General features: G+C 39.8%; 1 protein-coding gene across 12 annotated transcripts in view; it reads left to right on the top strand.

Annotated features, from left to right (window-relative positions):
• PLD1 (phospholipase D1) overlaps positions 1–15720 on the top strand; it is a 210080-nt gene that overhangs the window by 124728 nt on the left and 69632 nt on the right. For all 12 annotated transcript variants that reach the window (XR_007095693.1, NM_001130081.3, NM_002662.5 and 9 more), the window contains 3 exons: positions 8062–8190; positions 8923–9041; positions 11143–11256. Coding sequence is in view for 11 of the 12 variants with exons in the window: in NM_001130081.3 (NP_001123553.1) it covers positions 8062–8190; positions 8923–9041; positions 11143–11256 (362 nt within the window). In the remaining variant the exon portion in view is untranslated. The remainder of the gene's footprint in view (positions 1–8061; positions 8191–8922; positions 9042–11142; positions 11257–15720) is intronic.

Below are 15720 nucleotides of genomic sequence, written 5' to 3'. Positions count from 1 at the left end.
AGAAGATACTCCAGATACTCGAGGAATTAATGAATGACTAATAAGTTTAACTTGTGGTGGGAATAAAGAAGGATTTGGCCGCTGGTCAGATATGGGGATAAGTAATCATCATAATAAATGACACTAGTAAGATCATAAGCTAACATTTATTTTGCACAGACTCTATCCATCACTGCCCTGAGTAGTTGCAGTGCTTGGTAGTGATATTGTCATCTCCTTTTTACAGATGAAGAAACTCAGGGTTAGAGATGATACATGACCTGCCCAATGGAGTTCCAATTTATCATCCTCCCAGTGCCCATAATTAAGACCTGTGATTTAGCAGAAATAAAGATTACTATGTTATGCTTTTTTGGCTAGAACCTAAGGCCAGGGCTCTCATGTCCTGTTTAGCAGATGAGAGTTACAGTCTAGCTCACATGCCTGAATGTGAGTCACCTGTGGCTTGCAGGTGCTAATGAACCTGAAAAATTATGCTAGACTTTGAGTAATGATTCCCAGCATTCTTTCATCTAGGGCAGGGGTGTCCAATCTTTTGGCTTCCGTGGACCACATTGGAAGAAGAATTGTCTTGGGCCACACATAAAATATACTAACACTAATGATAGCTGATGAGCTAAAAAAAGTTGCAAAAAAAAATTACAATGTTTAAGAAAGTTTGTGAATTCGTGTTGGGCCACATTCAAAGCCATCCCGGGCCGCATGTGGCCCACAGGCTGTGGGTTGGACAAGCTTGGTCCAGCTACGCTGCATTTTAAAAAATGCAATAATCAACTACACACAATGAACTAAAACTTCAGTGTAACTGTTAAATAAATTTGTGTCTATAAATCATAACAGCATCGATATATATTTAAGAATGGAGAAGAGGCCAGGTGCAGTGACTCACACCTGTAATCCCAGCAATTTGGGAGGCTGAAGCAGGAGGATTGCTTGAGCCCAGGAATTCAAGACCATCTTCGGCAACGCAGTGAAACCCCCTCTCTACAAAAATTAGCTGAGTGTGGTGGCATGCATCTGTTGTCCCAGCTTTTCTGGCAGCTGAGGTGGGAGAATTGCTGGAGCCTGGAAGGCAGAGGTTGCAGTGAGCTGAGATCATGCCACTGCAGTCCAGCCTGGGTGACAGAGGGAGACCCTCTCTCACACACACAAAAACAATTTTTAAATTTTTGAAAAATAAAAATGGAGAAGAACAAATATGGGGAGACATATATTTATTTAGCATACACCTAGTACTGGGTGTATGTGTGGATTCAGGGACAACTCCCAGTAATTCCTGTGCATGACAAAGCTTCAAAGTCCTGGGAAGTAGGAGGCCTCTGGGAAATCTAGGAAGCCAGGTCAAGAGTGCATGCAGTGGCCGATATTAGAGGTAAAGGGTTGGAAACAGCTCCAGGTAGTGCCTTATCGTTTCAATGTGTAACTTTGCTGCTTTATTACTGAAGTTAAAAATGAAGTGGAGGAAAGGAGGTTGCCAACCCATGAAGATTATGGATCTGAATTATGACTGATAGTGTTGCTGGCAATAGGATTGACAGCAAGTGGAAAAGATGTGAGTGAGGTGCTGAGTCCAGTAAGTAACTCACGCCTACCCCAGGTTGACAGAGGTGATATCCACAGTGGTGATCTGAGACACTGATCATACATGTGTATGGTGTTGCTGATGAAAAGTACCCTTGACATCTGTTTACAACCCCTCACTGATAAACTGAATATATGTCTAGTGTAGCATTGTTGAGAGACAGAGAGAGAGATAGAGAGAGAGAACAACCTAAACGTCAAAGAGTAGGGAAATGGTGAAGAACATAATGAATGGTAACAAATGGTTCATCTCTTTTATGGAATTGGGCAATGATTACAACTGTAGTTGGGGATACAAAAATAAACATAGAAGATTTATTTATTTAATTAAATAAGTGTTTATTGAGTTTCTGTTATATGCCAATCACTATTCTGGGTGCTAGAGATGTGGTGAATAAAACAGATGAAGTGCAATTAACTAGTTGGAGGGTAAGGATGGGAACTGTGTATACAAATAGAGAGTCAAACACATTTCAGGTGGTGATAATTATCACGGAGAATAGTTGAGCATGATCCGGGAGGAAGAGCATAGGAGAAGAGTTACTATTTTGTAAAGGCTCATCGGAGAATACATCTCTCATGAGGTTAGTTTTCAGCTGACATCGAAAGAAAGAGAAGAATGAGGATAAGAAACTGAGAGAGGGTGTTTCCGACAGAAGGAATAGCAAGTATGAAAGGCCATGAGGTAGAGGGGTTGGGTGTGTTCCAGGAATACGGCTGTAGTGAAGTGGGCTAGGAGAGGATGATAAGAACAAAATCAGAGAGGTGGGCTGGGGTGGGTTATGTGAGGTCTTGCAGACCACTGTAAGATTTTGACCCTGAGTGAGATAGGAAGTCATCGGATGGTCTTGAGCGAAGGGTAGGCGAGGGCTGACTTACATTTTCCAAGGATCATTCTTCAGAGCAGACCAGGGTGGCAAATGGTGACTCTGCAGGTTGTGAATATATTTTGAGGGTCGAGCTGACAGCATTTGCCGATGAACTAGATACAAGATGTGAGAGATGGAGAGGACTCCAAATCTTTGGCCCCACTGGAAAGATGGAATTTCCATGAACTGAAATGAGGTGGCTATGGGAAGAGCAAGGAAAATTTGAGGACAATTGCCACTGTATCAAAATATGTTCGTGAAGGCAGCTGACAAAGGACATTCAATGATGCTATCTTTGTTAGGAAGATGGAGCGTGAGGTGATTTATTTTTTTCCCACATTGTTGGTACTGTTTTCATTTTACTTTTATAGTCAAATATAAATACAAATTTAATTTTTTAAAATGAAAACAGTTTACCTAAAAAGAAAAGCCAAAGGATCATGGGGTCCTTCTAGAGCAGTGCTTTCCAAAGTCGATTCCTTGGATCCTGGAGTTTTTAAAAGGCTTTGAGGAGAACATTGAAGTAGGTGAACCCCAGGACCCTCCCACAGCTATTGGTACCTCTTCAACCAGAACAATCCCACTTGTATCTGTTTTAATTATTGGAGTTCCTTCTGAACTTGTTTTCAAAAAAGAAAAGTTCTACTAAAAAAATGAAGGAAGTTTAAAGAGCAAGGCTCTAGATTTAAATCATGTAATACCTTAAAAACTCAGGTTGCCTTATAAAACTTGAAACCCAAATTAAGCATGGAGTGACTCTTCGTTAGAAATTTAAAACTGAATATGAACTTGAGTTAATGACTTCCTTTTCCTGAGAATGCAAAGAGAGTTAGCCTCTCTGCAATATCAATTTCACTTGACCGCATATGACCATGTTGAATTGGGCTCCTTGTTGAATTAAACCTCCTGGTGTCATACAGAAATCAGTGTGGAGTGAACATCACTATGGGTTTTTATATAGAAAAACTGCACTAAAAACGTGGTTAGGAATCATATCTGAAATATATGTTTTTCAAAATCACTCAGTCATTTTCAAGATTTTTTTTCATTCAGAATTATGTTCTAAGAGGGAGAATTTTGCTTGATACTATTTTTAAAGTGTTGAATTTTATTCCCTTTCTTTCTTTCTTTCTTTCTTTTTCTTTCTTTCTTTCTTTCTTTCTTTCTTTCTTTCTTTCTTTCTTTCTTTCTTTCTTTTTCTTTCTGTATTATACTTTAAGTTCTGGGATACACGTGCAGAACATGCAGGTTTGTTACATAGGTATACAAGTGCCACAGTGGTTTGCTGCACCCATCAACCTGTCATCTACATTAAGTGTTTCTCCTAATGCTATTCAGCAACTATGTGCTGATCTTTTCCTTTTAAGCAATATTAAATAGGTAAGTGAGGGAAAAATTATTTTTGCAATTTAGTTGAGACAGGCTTTTCAAATTTGAATGTCTCGTCACAAGGGATAATATTAAGCTGTTTCTAAACTGTTCTTAGGAATGCAATGGATAGGATGTGTAAGATTCATCTAGTGCTGTTAAATAGCTTGTTATCTAATAGGTGAGCATGAGTTTTAAATATTTTACAAACCTAATATTTTAGTAATTCATTGAGGGAAGATACTCCTACTGCAAGAGTCATCATTGATCCACAGACGAAATACAGGTCTACAAACCCTTAACCACGATTCTAAATTCCAAAAAATTTTGAAAACCAAAATATTTTTTAAAATATAACTTGTTCAGTGCCTGTATTGGAACTGGCCTTGAACATATGTAGAAATTCGGTAGGTAGAGACTAAAAAGGTAGAAAAACAGGCATTTTAGGTAGATACTACATCTTAAGACCCAGATATAGGAAATGCAAAAGTATTTATTTCGGCATCTCAGACTGAGTGTAGAATGTGGTAAATACATATAGGTCTATAATCTCTCATACAAAATCCTTGGAATCAGATTTCAGAAATCAGAAAGTTCTGGATTTTAGAAAGGTAATACAATACCTATACCCTCTACTATATTACACTCCCAGCAGGATCCAGGAAATACCTGGAATGTAGGCAAACCATTTATGTTTGTGCAACACCAAGTGGGATCAATAAAGATAATAAATAACCTCTTGTCAGTTCAGGTCAGATTTTGCTGACCTGTGAGTTATGAAATGAGCTGTGAAAATCAGCTATGAAAAAACATTTGAATTGTTAGAACTTTTGGAGTTTTGGAATTGTGGTTAAGGGCTGATTTGTGCAGATTGAGCTGGTGGGATATATCTGTAGCAGTTTACGGAGGACTTTGAAAATCAGACTGAGACATTGCACCTCTTCCATTAAATGTTGGAAAATCCCTAGGGGCAGGGAGCAATTAAGGGTGAGGCTTTATAGCGTTTATAGTAGAGACACAGGGAGTCTGACAAGGTTGTGTCAGTGAGTTCAAGAACGAAGTAAATGGGAGAAACTTTTTCCAAAAGCAGAATCAGCAGATTTTCATCATGATCTGGGAAGCCGTGGGGAGGTGGGTGGAGAAGTCAGCGAAGAATAAAGGAGCCAAAGGTGATTCCGAGGTTTGAGCTTGAGTTACTACACACAGACAGCAGAAATCTCAAGGAAAGACTTGATTTTATGGAATGATGATGATTTTAGTGTTAGACATAATTTTAAAGTTCTGGAGGGAACTAGGTAAACAATGTCAAGTGAGGCACTGGAAGTGACCTTAGATTTGGAGTCCAAAACAGAAGCCATCCTTGCAGGTGCACATTTTAGAAATTGTATAGAAAAAGACAGGAGAGGCCGGGTGTGGTGGCTCACGCCTGTAATCCCAGCACTTTGGGAGGCCGAGGCAGGCAGATCACGAGGTCAGGAGTTCGAGATGAGCCTGGCCAACATGGTGAAACCCTGTCTCTACTATCAAATACAAAAATTAGCAGGGCATGGTGGTGTGCGCCTGTAATCCCAGCTACTCGGGAGGCTGAGGCAGGAGAATTGCTTGAACACTTGGCCCTGGGAGGCAGAGGTTGCAGTGAGCCGAGATCGTGCCACTGCACTCCAGTCTCAAAAAAAAAAAAAAAAAAAAAAAAAAGAGGAAGAAAAAGAAAACAAAAAGACAGGAGAAAGGGGGAAACCTTGTTAGTGAGGAGGAGCTAGGAAAGAAGAACAAGGATAGGCTGGAGAAATGGTAGAAAAATGGAGACCTGGAAGCCGAGAGATGAGAATAGAAGGAGGAGGATGTGGCACGACCAGAGGACACCAGGCAAGGAACAAGAAGTCCCCCTTCTCATAAACTTTAGTAGCCAGAATCTGAGCCACTGACAGAGGAGGATGCAGAAAATTGGCCTGACAAATCTGTGCCAAAAGACAAGGCAGGTGCAATTATGAAATCATTTGGGAGCCAGATAGCAGCCTAACGAGACCCCCTTGGATCAGCATTGTTGATGCCATAAGTCCTCTCGACCACACTCATGTAATTCTGAGCTACTGTTTTCACAGGAACTAGTATTTGGCTCTATTGCCTTAATAGTTCATTTGTACTGAGGAGGAACCCTAATTTATGTGGAATAGTTTTTAGGCCATGGCTAAAAACAAAAACAAATTTGAATTATGAGCAGGTTGAATTCAATTAGTACCAAGATAATTTCCTGAGACTAAGAATTTCCTTTATTTTCCTTATCATAACTGGTTGTTAGGTGAAAGATAATTTTTAAATGAGTGTATATGTGTTTATGTAAAGCCTTAGCTTAGAGTTTTGCAGTTGATGAAAGCAAATTGTATATGTGTATTTTATATTTGAAATTTGAAATATTGTTTATCTCATTTTTCATCCCTTTTGTTTCTTTTCTCACCCTCTTTTCTTCTTTTAACAAAGTGCTATGTAAACAATAAAGAGCCTATAGATGAGCAAACAGACCTACCCGTACTTTGGCCTTTCAGTCTCATAAAGCAGGAAAATAAATCACTGGGAGAAGTCAATAGAAGTCTATTTTTAACATGATTTCATTTTGCTAATCTATGGCATTTTAAATCATTTTTCTTCTGTAGAAAACTTTAATAGCCTTTGAAAGGTTAATGATTCAGTTTGAGATAGAATATTAGCATTGTGTGTGGTGATTACATAAAAACATTTGTTCTGCAAATATTTATTGATTGCCTGGGTGCTTGGAGCTACTGGCAGTGAGAAGATTTGGTTCCCACTCCCAAAGAGTTTATAGACTGGTGAGGCATTGATGCGGGCAGGGGAGCATCCTGATACAATTGCGTCACAGAGTCAGAGGTGTTGGGGCAGTTGTTAGTGGGATGACAGCAGTGCTAGTGACTGCCTCTTCCTTATGGGGAGATGGCAGGTGATAGCTAATGTGGCTCTTGAAGGATGATTAGGATATCAGGCCAAGAGGGAGAAAGGAGCATTTCAGGTAGAAGTAATAATGTGCCAACTGCATGGAGACATGGCAGTCCACACCTGTTATAATACAGTGAAACACGTGATTTGCATGGGGCCTGGGGTTGGGTGGGGAAAAACAAGGACTAGAAAGATAGATTGGCACCAGTTTGGGAAGAGTCTTCTATGCACACTAAGCCCTTAGGACTTGAGCTTCCTATAGGCAGTATGTGAACCTTCCAGGGTTTTAAGCAAAGAGTGCATTTTACAAAGACAGTTCTGGGACAGTGTGTTGGTGGCAGGACCAGTGTAGTCCTCTCACTGGCTACTGCAAGCAGTACCATTTATTCATTCAACACATATTTTTGCATTCAGTGTCTATTTGTTAAATGCCTCTTTTGTGCCAAGTGCTGCGTTTGTGATTTGTAATTCTGCATCTTTTTACTTCATTGTCTTTGTATTTAGCCGTAAGTCAATGGTCTCGGCACAGTTATTTGTGAAATGCTATAGTAGATTGCTGCTTTTGCACCTATATCATAAGCTTTCATCTGTTGTTACCATATTTTTTATAAATGCCATCTATGATTTGAAGTATATAAATGTTAAAGCGCAACAGATTTTAGCTGTTATCTAGGCCAAATTCTTCATTTTACGCATAATGGATTTATGATCTAAAAAACTGAAGCTCAGTGTCACTTAGCTAATTAATTCCAGGGCTGGAACATGGGCTATCTGTAAATTTGAGGTTCTTGCTTTAATGCAAAAGAATTATGCATCAGGTGTGCACCATGTTGGTTGAGGAAAAAGAAGTGGCATGGTGTCTTTATTGCCCCTGCGTCTCAGGTTTCTCCACCTCTCCCCTCCCCGCCCTTCCCACTCTGCCCCTGAAAGCCCCCCACCAGCTTTACTGCTCTCATAGTGCCACCTTGTGAGTTCTTTATTCACAGTTAATTCTGTGATAGTTCTTCCAGTGATCTGGTAGGTGGTGGAAATAAGTTACTCAACTGCCTGAGAAGGTCAAATTTCATTGTTTAATGATGAATCTTGTTGTAGCCCTAACTGCCCACTAAAAGTAAACTTGTAAGGACTGTAAAACCTTGTTAGCCCACAGCCTGTAATAGAATGGACAGATGCCACCCTAGTTGTGTCTTAAGAAATTAAGAAGCTTTTAGGTGTTTAATAAATGAGAGTTGAGCCTCCCTTTCTGGGACTCACCTGAACCACAGTCTCTGAGGGGGTCTTGCTGCATTCACAGATACCGGGTCCATCCGTAGTTTACAGACAGGTGTGGGAGAGCTGCATGGGGAAACCAGATTCTGGCATGGAAAGGACTACTGCAATTTCGTCTTCAAAGACTGGGTTCAACTTGATAAACCTTTTGCTGGTGAGTATCATAATGGTGGGGTGCTGGTTATATTTTGTCTTTTACCTTTGAACATCTCAGCAAGTATACATGTGCATGATCTAAATGCCTTTTGTTTTGCTTCCGTTGATTTTTGAAAATTTTTTAAAACTTTGGAGACTAGATTTAGTCATTAGCATGTGCTTAAGGACTTTTTTTTCAGTTATAATAAGAAAAGAACATGAAATAGAGCTGAACTGTCTGAAAAATCCAGATTTTTATAGGCATATTTTGGGGGCAATAATCAGTAATTTTTCAGGAAATGGTAGGCTCCCTTTGATCATCTTCTATTCTGCTTATTTCCTGCATTTCCAGCGTTAGAATGGCATATTTTCAGGTTATCACTGGGTTTATATGTTTAAGAGGAGATAGAGATGGCATTGCCTGCCATTGTTTCAACAGGATAAAAAATAAAAAATATAATATCAAATACACAGCCTTAGATAATTTGTACCAACTCACATCTTGCCATGTCTAGTGATTATCTAATCCTAAGTGAAACGGAAACATATGTGGGGAAGTGCCTGGGAGACTATGTCCCTGAATGTGAAATCTGTTTCCCTTGATTATAAAAATGTTGTTCTATGCAAGCCAAGAAATATATACCTAGTGGGCACTAACCCACGTTTCCTTTTAGTTTCATAGTTGGAGTCAGAGAGACTTTGCCCCAACACTGAAGTTAATGACTGATCCTTGCCTGGTGCACCCGGGCAGATTTCATTGACAGGTACTCCACGCCCCGGATGCCCTGGCATGACATTGCCTCTGCAGTCCACGGGAAGGCGGCTCGTGATGTGGCACGTCACTTCATCCAGCGCTGGAACTTCACAAAAGTACTTGGATGTTGCTATCATGATTTATCCACATGAAGAGAGGCAGGCCTAACTAGAGAAGAGGTTTAGAGGAGGCTGGTAGCAAGAAGAGACTGTTGTGGCCACAACTGTGTCACTGCTCTGCTGTTGGCTGCATTGATGTCCGGGTGCCTGGGCATCTGGGCAAAAAAAAAGGGAAACATTCCCGAATGTCCACACCATAGACAATTCAGAGTGCCTAGGGACAGGTGCTGCTGTGTGGGTCCTGATTTTAACCTTGTTAACATCTTGGACACAGTGTTGACTAAGCATTTAGTAGCCTGGGCTCGGTAGTCATTTGCAGGGCTGTTATAGGGGGATAGGAGCCTGGTTTAGATGAGAGGGCTTGAGCTTTAAAGTCCCATCCAGTTGGATGGGACTGGAATTGCACTGGGTTTATATTGGTACAGGATTCTGAGAGCTGGTTCTGAGCAAACCAAGAAGTATTAAGAAGGTGGGGCCATTTTCCTTTTATCCAGATTGTGTCCTCATTACTTGTAAGAACTTGACATAACATTCAAACCTAACATTCATAAGTTAAGTACGTATCATTCAGGCCAGGCACGGTGGCCCACGACTGTAATCCTGGCACTTTGGGAGGCCTAGGCTGGTGGATCACCTGAGGTCAGGAGTTCGAGACCAGCCTGACCAACATGGTGAAAACCTGTCTCTACTAAAATACAAAAATTAGCTGGGCATGGTGGTGGGTGCCTGTAATCTCAACTGCTCTGGAGGCTGAGGCAGGAAAATCACTTGAATCCAGGAGGCGGAGTTTGCAGTGAGCTGAGAGGACTCCATTGTACTCCAGCCTAGGCAACAGAGCGAGACTCTGTCTCAAAAAAAAAAAAAAAAAGTACATATTCAGGTGTTATTAAAGTTTCACTTTATTTACTTGAAGGGATAATGAGTCATGATTCCCCTTGGTCGTTTGGAAAAAGAATTTAGTTTTATCAACCACTTAGAGTCTAACTTTGTTTTTCATTCACATAATGATTATAAAAATTTAGTGGACATTCTAATTGAAATTTTTTAACAAAAATTTAGGGGAGATGGATGAATAAACAAATGGGGTGTTACTTTTAACCTGCTATACTGGCAAAGATAAAAGTCTCTGCTGATACCTGTAGTTAGGTTTGGGGTGGTTTTTGTGGTGTGCTCATACATGCTACCCCAGGGAGGATAAATTTGTACAACACCAATAAGTCTTTTTTAAAGTATGCAATCTTTGATCCAGAAAAACTATTTCCGGGTATTCAAACTAAAGCCATAATCCAATAAGGTAATTTATTTTGATATGGCTTCTAATAATTCAAATAAAATTAGAAATAACAGAAATCCTTACTAATAGGAATTTATTAAACAAATGATTCTTTTATACCATTTTACTATGAAGTTATTAAAAATAATGATATCCCACTATATTGCTGTGACAAGATATCTAGAACATAATCAGTAAAAAATTAGTTTATAAAACAATAGTCTCATTTTTGCAATTATAAAGTTCTGTAACTACAGATTATATTTAACCTGTCTTTACAAATATAAAACAATATTTCCCCTACAAAAGGTAAAAACAGGACTGTGAGAAGTAGAAAACAAACACAAATAATCTGTAGCCCTTCACTTAGAAATGTCCACCATTAACATTTTTCTTTTTCTTTTTCAAATTAACCTGAATTTCTTTTCTTTTCTTTTTCTTTTTTTTTTTTTTTTTTTTGAGATGGAGATTCACTCTTGTCACCCAGGCTGTAGTGCAATGATGAAATCTCGACTCACTGCAACCTCTGCCTCCGAGGTTCAAGTGATTCTCCTGCCTCAGCCTCCCGAGTAGCTGGGATTACAGGCGCCCGCCACCATGCTTGGCTAATTTTTGTATTTTTAGTAGAGATGGGGGTTTCACCGTGTTGGCCAGGCTGATCTCGAACTCCTGACCTCAAGTGATCCCCGCTTCTTGGCCTCCCAAAGTGCTGGGATTACAGGCGTGAGCCACTGCACCTGGGCATGAATTTCTTTTATAATCACAAAGTAGGGAGAATGAATCTTTTTTCTCATTTGAATATTTTATCCTTTTTCTTTATTTTAGATTATGAAATCAAAATATCGGTCCCTTTCTTATCCTTTTCTGCTTCCAAAGTCTCAAACAACAGCCCATGAGTTGAGATATCAAGTGCCTGGGTCTGTCCATGCTAACGTACAGGTAAGTAAGTTCTGGCTTTTCTTTTTGACAAAATGCTACTGAGTAAAATTACTGTTATTGGACCAAGGGCCTATTACATTGGCTTCAGATTTTTCAATGACTGCTTTTCTAAAGCAAAACTAAATGGATCTTTTAATACTTGTTATTATATTTCCTATGTTAAATGGATTCAATTCAGTCTCTTTTTAAAACTCTTATAAATATAATAAATGCATGTCCTTAGAAAAGGCCACAGCCAAGGCTATTCCTGTAATTCCTTCTGAAGTGACCCTAGCAACATGATACCCAGTAAACCTGGACCTGATACTGCCTAAGCACCAGGAATGTGGCTGAAACTTAGCAGCTAGGAAGCTAGTTGTAGTTCAGTCTAATTTTAGTTCCTGATTAACCAAATGTCTTCTAGAGGCCCTTTTAATGGAATAAGGAATTTGCTTAATAGAGTCACAACAGTTTACCACATCCAGTTTAACCATCTCAAACTACAAATAAGAAAATTCAGACCTAGTGGGGCTCTGAGGCCTATCTAGGGCCGGCCAGCTAGTTATCAACAGAGGTGGAGCTTGAAATCCTAGTCTGGTCCAGTGTTACCCAATCTGCTTCCTTTACCAACTACAGCTCAAATATCTTGAGATCATGTGGGGACAGAAGTAGGATGGGCCACCTTTGGCATTGCCTTTTGTTTGAAGTCATCAATATGGGCATCAGAAGAATTGTTTAAGTAAAGTCCAGCAGTCTGCTACTGCTACATATCATCAGTAGGGACCATCAGTAGGGACTTATATAATGCAGACATGGATCCTAGGGAATGTGATTATATAAATGAAGTGCCTAAATCAGTTATTTTGCATCGTGTGCAATTGGAGGTATGTGTATATAAGAAATAAGACATTTCAGACTGTAGATCAAATAATAGAACTTTTTTTAAAAAAGGCCAGGTGTGGTGGCTCCCACCTGTAGTCCTAGCACTTTGGGAGGCCGAGGCGGGTGGATCACCTGAGGTCAGGAGTTCGAGACCAGCCTGGCCAACCCTGTCTCTACTAAAAATAAGAAATTAGCTGGGCGTGGTAGCGTGCGCCTGTAATCCTAGCTACTCGGGAGGCTGAGGCAGGAGAATCGCTTAAACCCAGGAGGCAGAGTTTGCAGTGAGCCGAGACTACACCACTGCAGTCCAGCCTGGGTGACAGAGTAAGAGTCCATCTCAAAAAAAAAAAGATAAGCTGCTTGAGAGAAATATCGGCAGCAAATATTAGTCATCCCAGGCTAAAAAGAAAACTAATTTAAACTCAGAGGCATAGAGATAGCTATGATTTATATGTAAGTTGATGAATATTTTATGAACCTGTTTAATTTTATTCTACGTAGAGGAGAAAAAATTACCAATGCTAGAATATAAAATAAGAAACTTGTTATTAGGAAAATAAGAATTTAAGATTTGAACTTGCATTATTATTGACGTGGTGGTCAATTTTTCAAAGTTAGCTGATGTTAATAAGTATCTGTTGAAAATGGATTGCTGGGAATTAAGTATTTTTGTAATCAATGAAGGAAGTTTTAGCATAGCGTTGCATATGCATATATTTTCCACTTCACTGTTGGTAAAGCCCTGACTCACATAGTCTCATCCTGCTGCCTGGTGAGGTCAATAGAGACTCTATAAAATGCTTCTCTTCGTTCGCTTTTTCCGCATCACTGATGTTGTGTGAGAAATGACACTAGAGTGGGTGTGGTGGCTCACGCTTGGAATCCCAGCACTTTGGGAGGCCAAGGCAGGAGGAGAGCCTAGGAGTCCAAGACCAGCCTGGGCAACATAGTGAGACCCCATCTCTACAAAAAGTTCTTAAAAAATTAGCCAGGCATGGTGGCACATGCTTGCGGTCCCAGCCACTTAGGAGGCTGAAGCAGGAGGATTGCTTGAGCCCAGGAGGTGGAGACTGCAGTGAGCCATAATTGCACCCCTGCATTCCAGCCTGGGCAACAGAGCGAGACTGACTCAAAAAAAAAAAATAAAAATAAAAACTAAAAGAAAAGAAATGAGACTAGATCTGATAAGCTCATATGTTAATCCCTCACATGTTCAGGTGGCCTGGACTCAAGAATCTACAAAGCCAAGGATATTTAACAAGACTTACTCACTCATTCATTCATTTATTCAGCCAACATATGTTTACTAAGTGTTGTCCGTTTGCATGGTGAAGTCATCAAAGCACACTTGGGTGTCGAGAGGGCAGACAGCAAAGGAGTTCTTTGCCTCTGGAAACTTAGTTAGCTGGGGAGAGATAGCTGAGATGAATAATTCAGTTACAGTGCAAGGTATGGTCTCTGAGTAAATGCTGGTGTGACAGTAAGGACCAGCATGCTGTAAGAGTTTGGAAATCCAGAGGGACAGAACTGGGTGTCCACTCTAAGGAATAGTCCTGCTTGCTCAGAAGACAAAAGGACTGACTGCAGTAACCCATTCGCTCTTAGAGAGGCACTGATGAAGTTAGACAGCATAAGGCCAGGGCGGGGGCGGGGTGGGGGCTACACCTGGAGTGCTGTCCTAGTGAATTTGGACCTGGTCCTAGAAGTGCTAGTGAACTTTGGATGTTTTTTTTTTTCGATTGGGCAAGAAGCATGATGCAGGAATGTTCAATGAAGATTAATGGAGGAGAGAGTTTTCCAAACTGAATTTACCTGTGAGATGCTGATAACTATTCCACAAAGATTTCCATGGACAGATAAGGTTTTGCAGAATTCTTTAATACAGGACTCCTTAGCACCTTTTTTATGCTACAGTGTATTATAAAACCACCAAGAAGGAATATGATGTGCGCATTTCCCAAGCTTATTTGACAGAGAATCTCTTGTTTTATGCATTCTTATCTGTTTCCATCTTTCCAAACAAATACCTTGAGACCAAATGTTTATACACATGAAGAACTTATTAGACTAGAGAGATAATGAGAGCAAGGGGACAAGTGAAGAGGCTATTACAGTAATTCTGACATATAATTAAGTCCTAAACTAGAAATGAAGAGAAGGAACAAATAGGAGGTATTTTTGAGGAAAGAGACAAAGGGACATCACGACTAGGAACTAACTGAAAATTTGGGACAGAGGAAAAAGTTAAAGATAGTTTAGTGTCACAAAGTCTCCAAAGAACCATAGGAACTGTGTCATGACTGATGGGCCAGGGCACTAATTGAGATCACCAAAGGACTCAGGTAGCTCCTGTAGTACATCTAGTTCTTGGTAATATAAATTTTGCAGCATGATAATGGATATATAAAATGGGTATATAAAAGTGTCGCTAGGCAGTGCTGCTGGAAATATCCAGCTAAATATAATAACATGCATTTTCACGCTAACAAATCATAAAAGCACACAAGGTGGTGTGGTATGAAGATTGTATAGCAGCATGTGGCCTCAGCATGCCATTACCCCTCCCTGAGCCCAGTTTTGTCATCTGAAAGACTTATGTTTGGTATGAATCTGATCTGAGTCCCTTCAGACATTTAAAGGGAAAATTTTCATTCATTGTCTTTCATACAAGAGGTATCATTCAAAGTACAGGTGTTAATGACTTTCTATTTAATCCTCCTGCTATAGTTATGATCCCTCACAAAATAAAACTCAAATGGCCACCACAGATACACTTCTTAATTTTTAAAGTAGTTAGAATGACACTTATCACTAAATAGAAATAGAAGCCATTGCTCAGAATTTTTACCTTGATCATTAAACTTGTTTCTATGGATCTTTGAGAGAAAAGGAAAATATCTAAGTAAATTAAAACATCATAGGTACATTTAGCCACATGGCAGTGATAAATAGGACAAAAATTAAAAGGAAGGATAAGAGTTAAGAAACTAGGACATCACTGATGAACTCTTAAATTCCAAGATTATAAGATTATAATTTATTTTATTCCTCTGGTCCTGAAAACCTGCTATTTCTATAATTAGCTTTTTGCCATCTCAGTGCCTAAAGTAAAATCTCCTACAGACTGGCTGGAGTTAAGGCTGTAAGTAGGGAATGAATTGCTCCCTTCAGGAACTCATGTTCCTTGCAGCTTCAGGCCCTTGCTTAGCTTTAGGACCCTCAGCCACCCAGGCCTTTTCTAGACCTGTTCTCAGCTTTATATTTGTAAATTTGCATTGATTTTATTAAAGAGGCCTCAGGGTATTTGGAGTGTCATGATCTCAAGTCTTCTGTTATTTCTATGTGTTTGGAACATTTCATGTCCTCTCGTCCAGCTCTTTTGAAATACCAATACACTGTTGTTAACTATAGTCAACCTGCTCTGCTATTGAATACTAGAACTTATTCCTTCTATGTTTGTACCCATTAACCATCCTCTCTTTATCTCCACCCTATTCCCTGTACCCGCCTACACAAACCCTTCCCAGCTTCTAGTTTCTATCATTCTACTATCTACTTGCATGAGATTGACTTTTTAAGCTTCCACATATGAGTGAGAACAAG

The sequence above is a fragment of the Homo sapiens genome, chromosome 3 (genome assembly GCF_000001405.40).
Source record: "Homo sapiens chromosome 3, GRCh38.p14 Primary Assembly".
Classification (NCBI taxonomy): Eukaryota; Metazoa; Chordata; class Mammalia; order Primates; family Hominidae; genus Homo; species Homo sapiens.
Note: the sequence above shows the minus strand (reverse complement) of the source record. Positions and strands in the feature narration are given on the sequence as shown.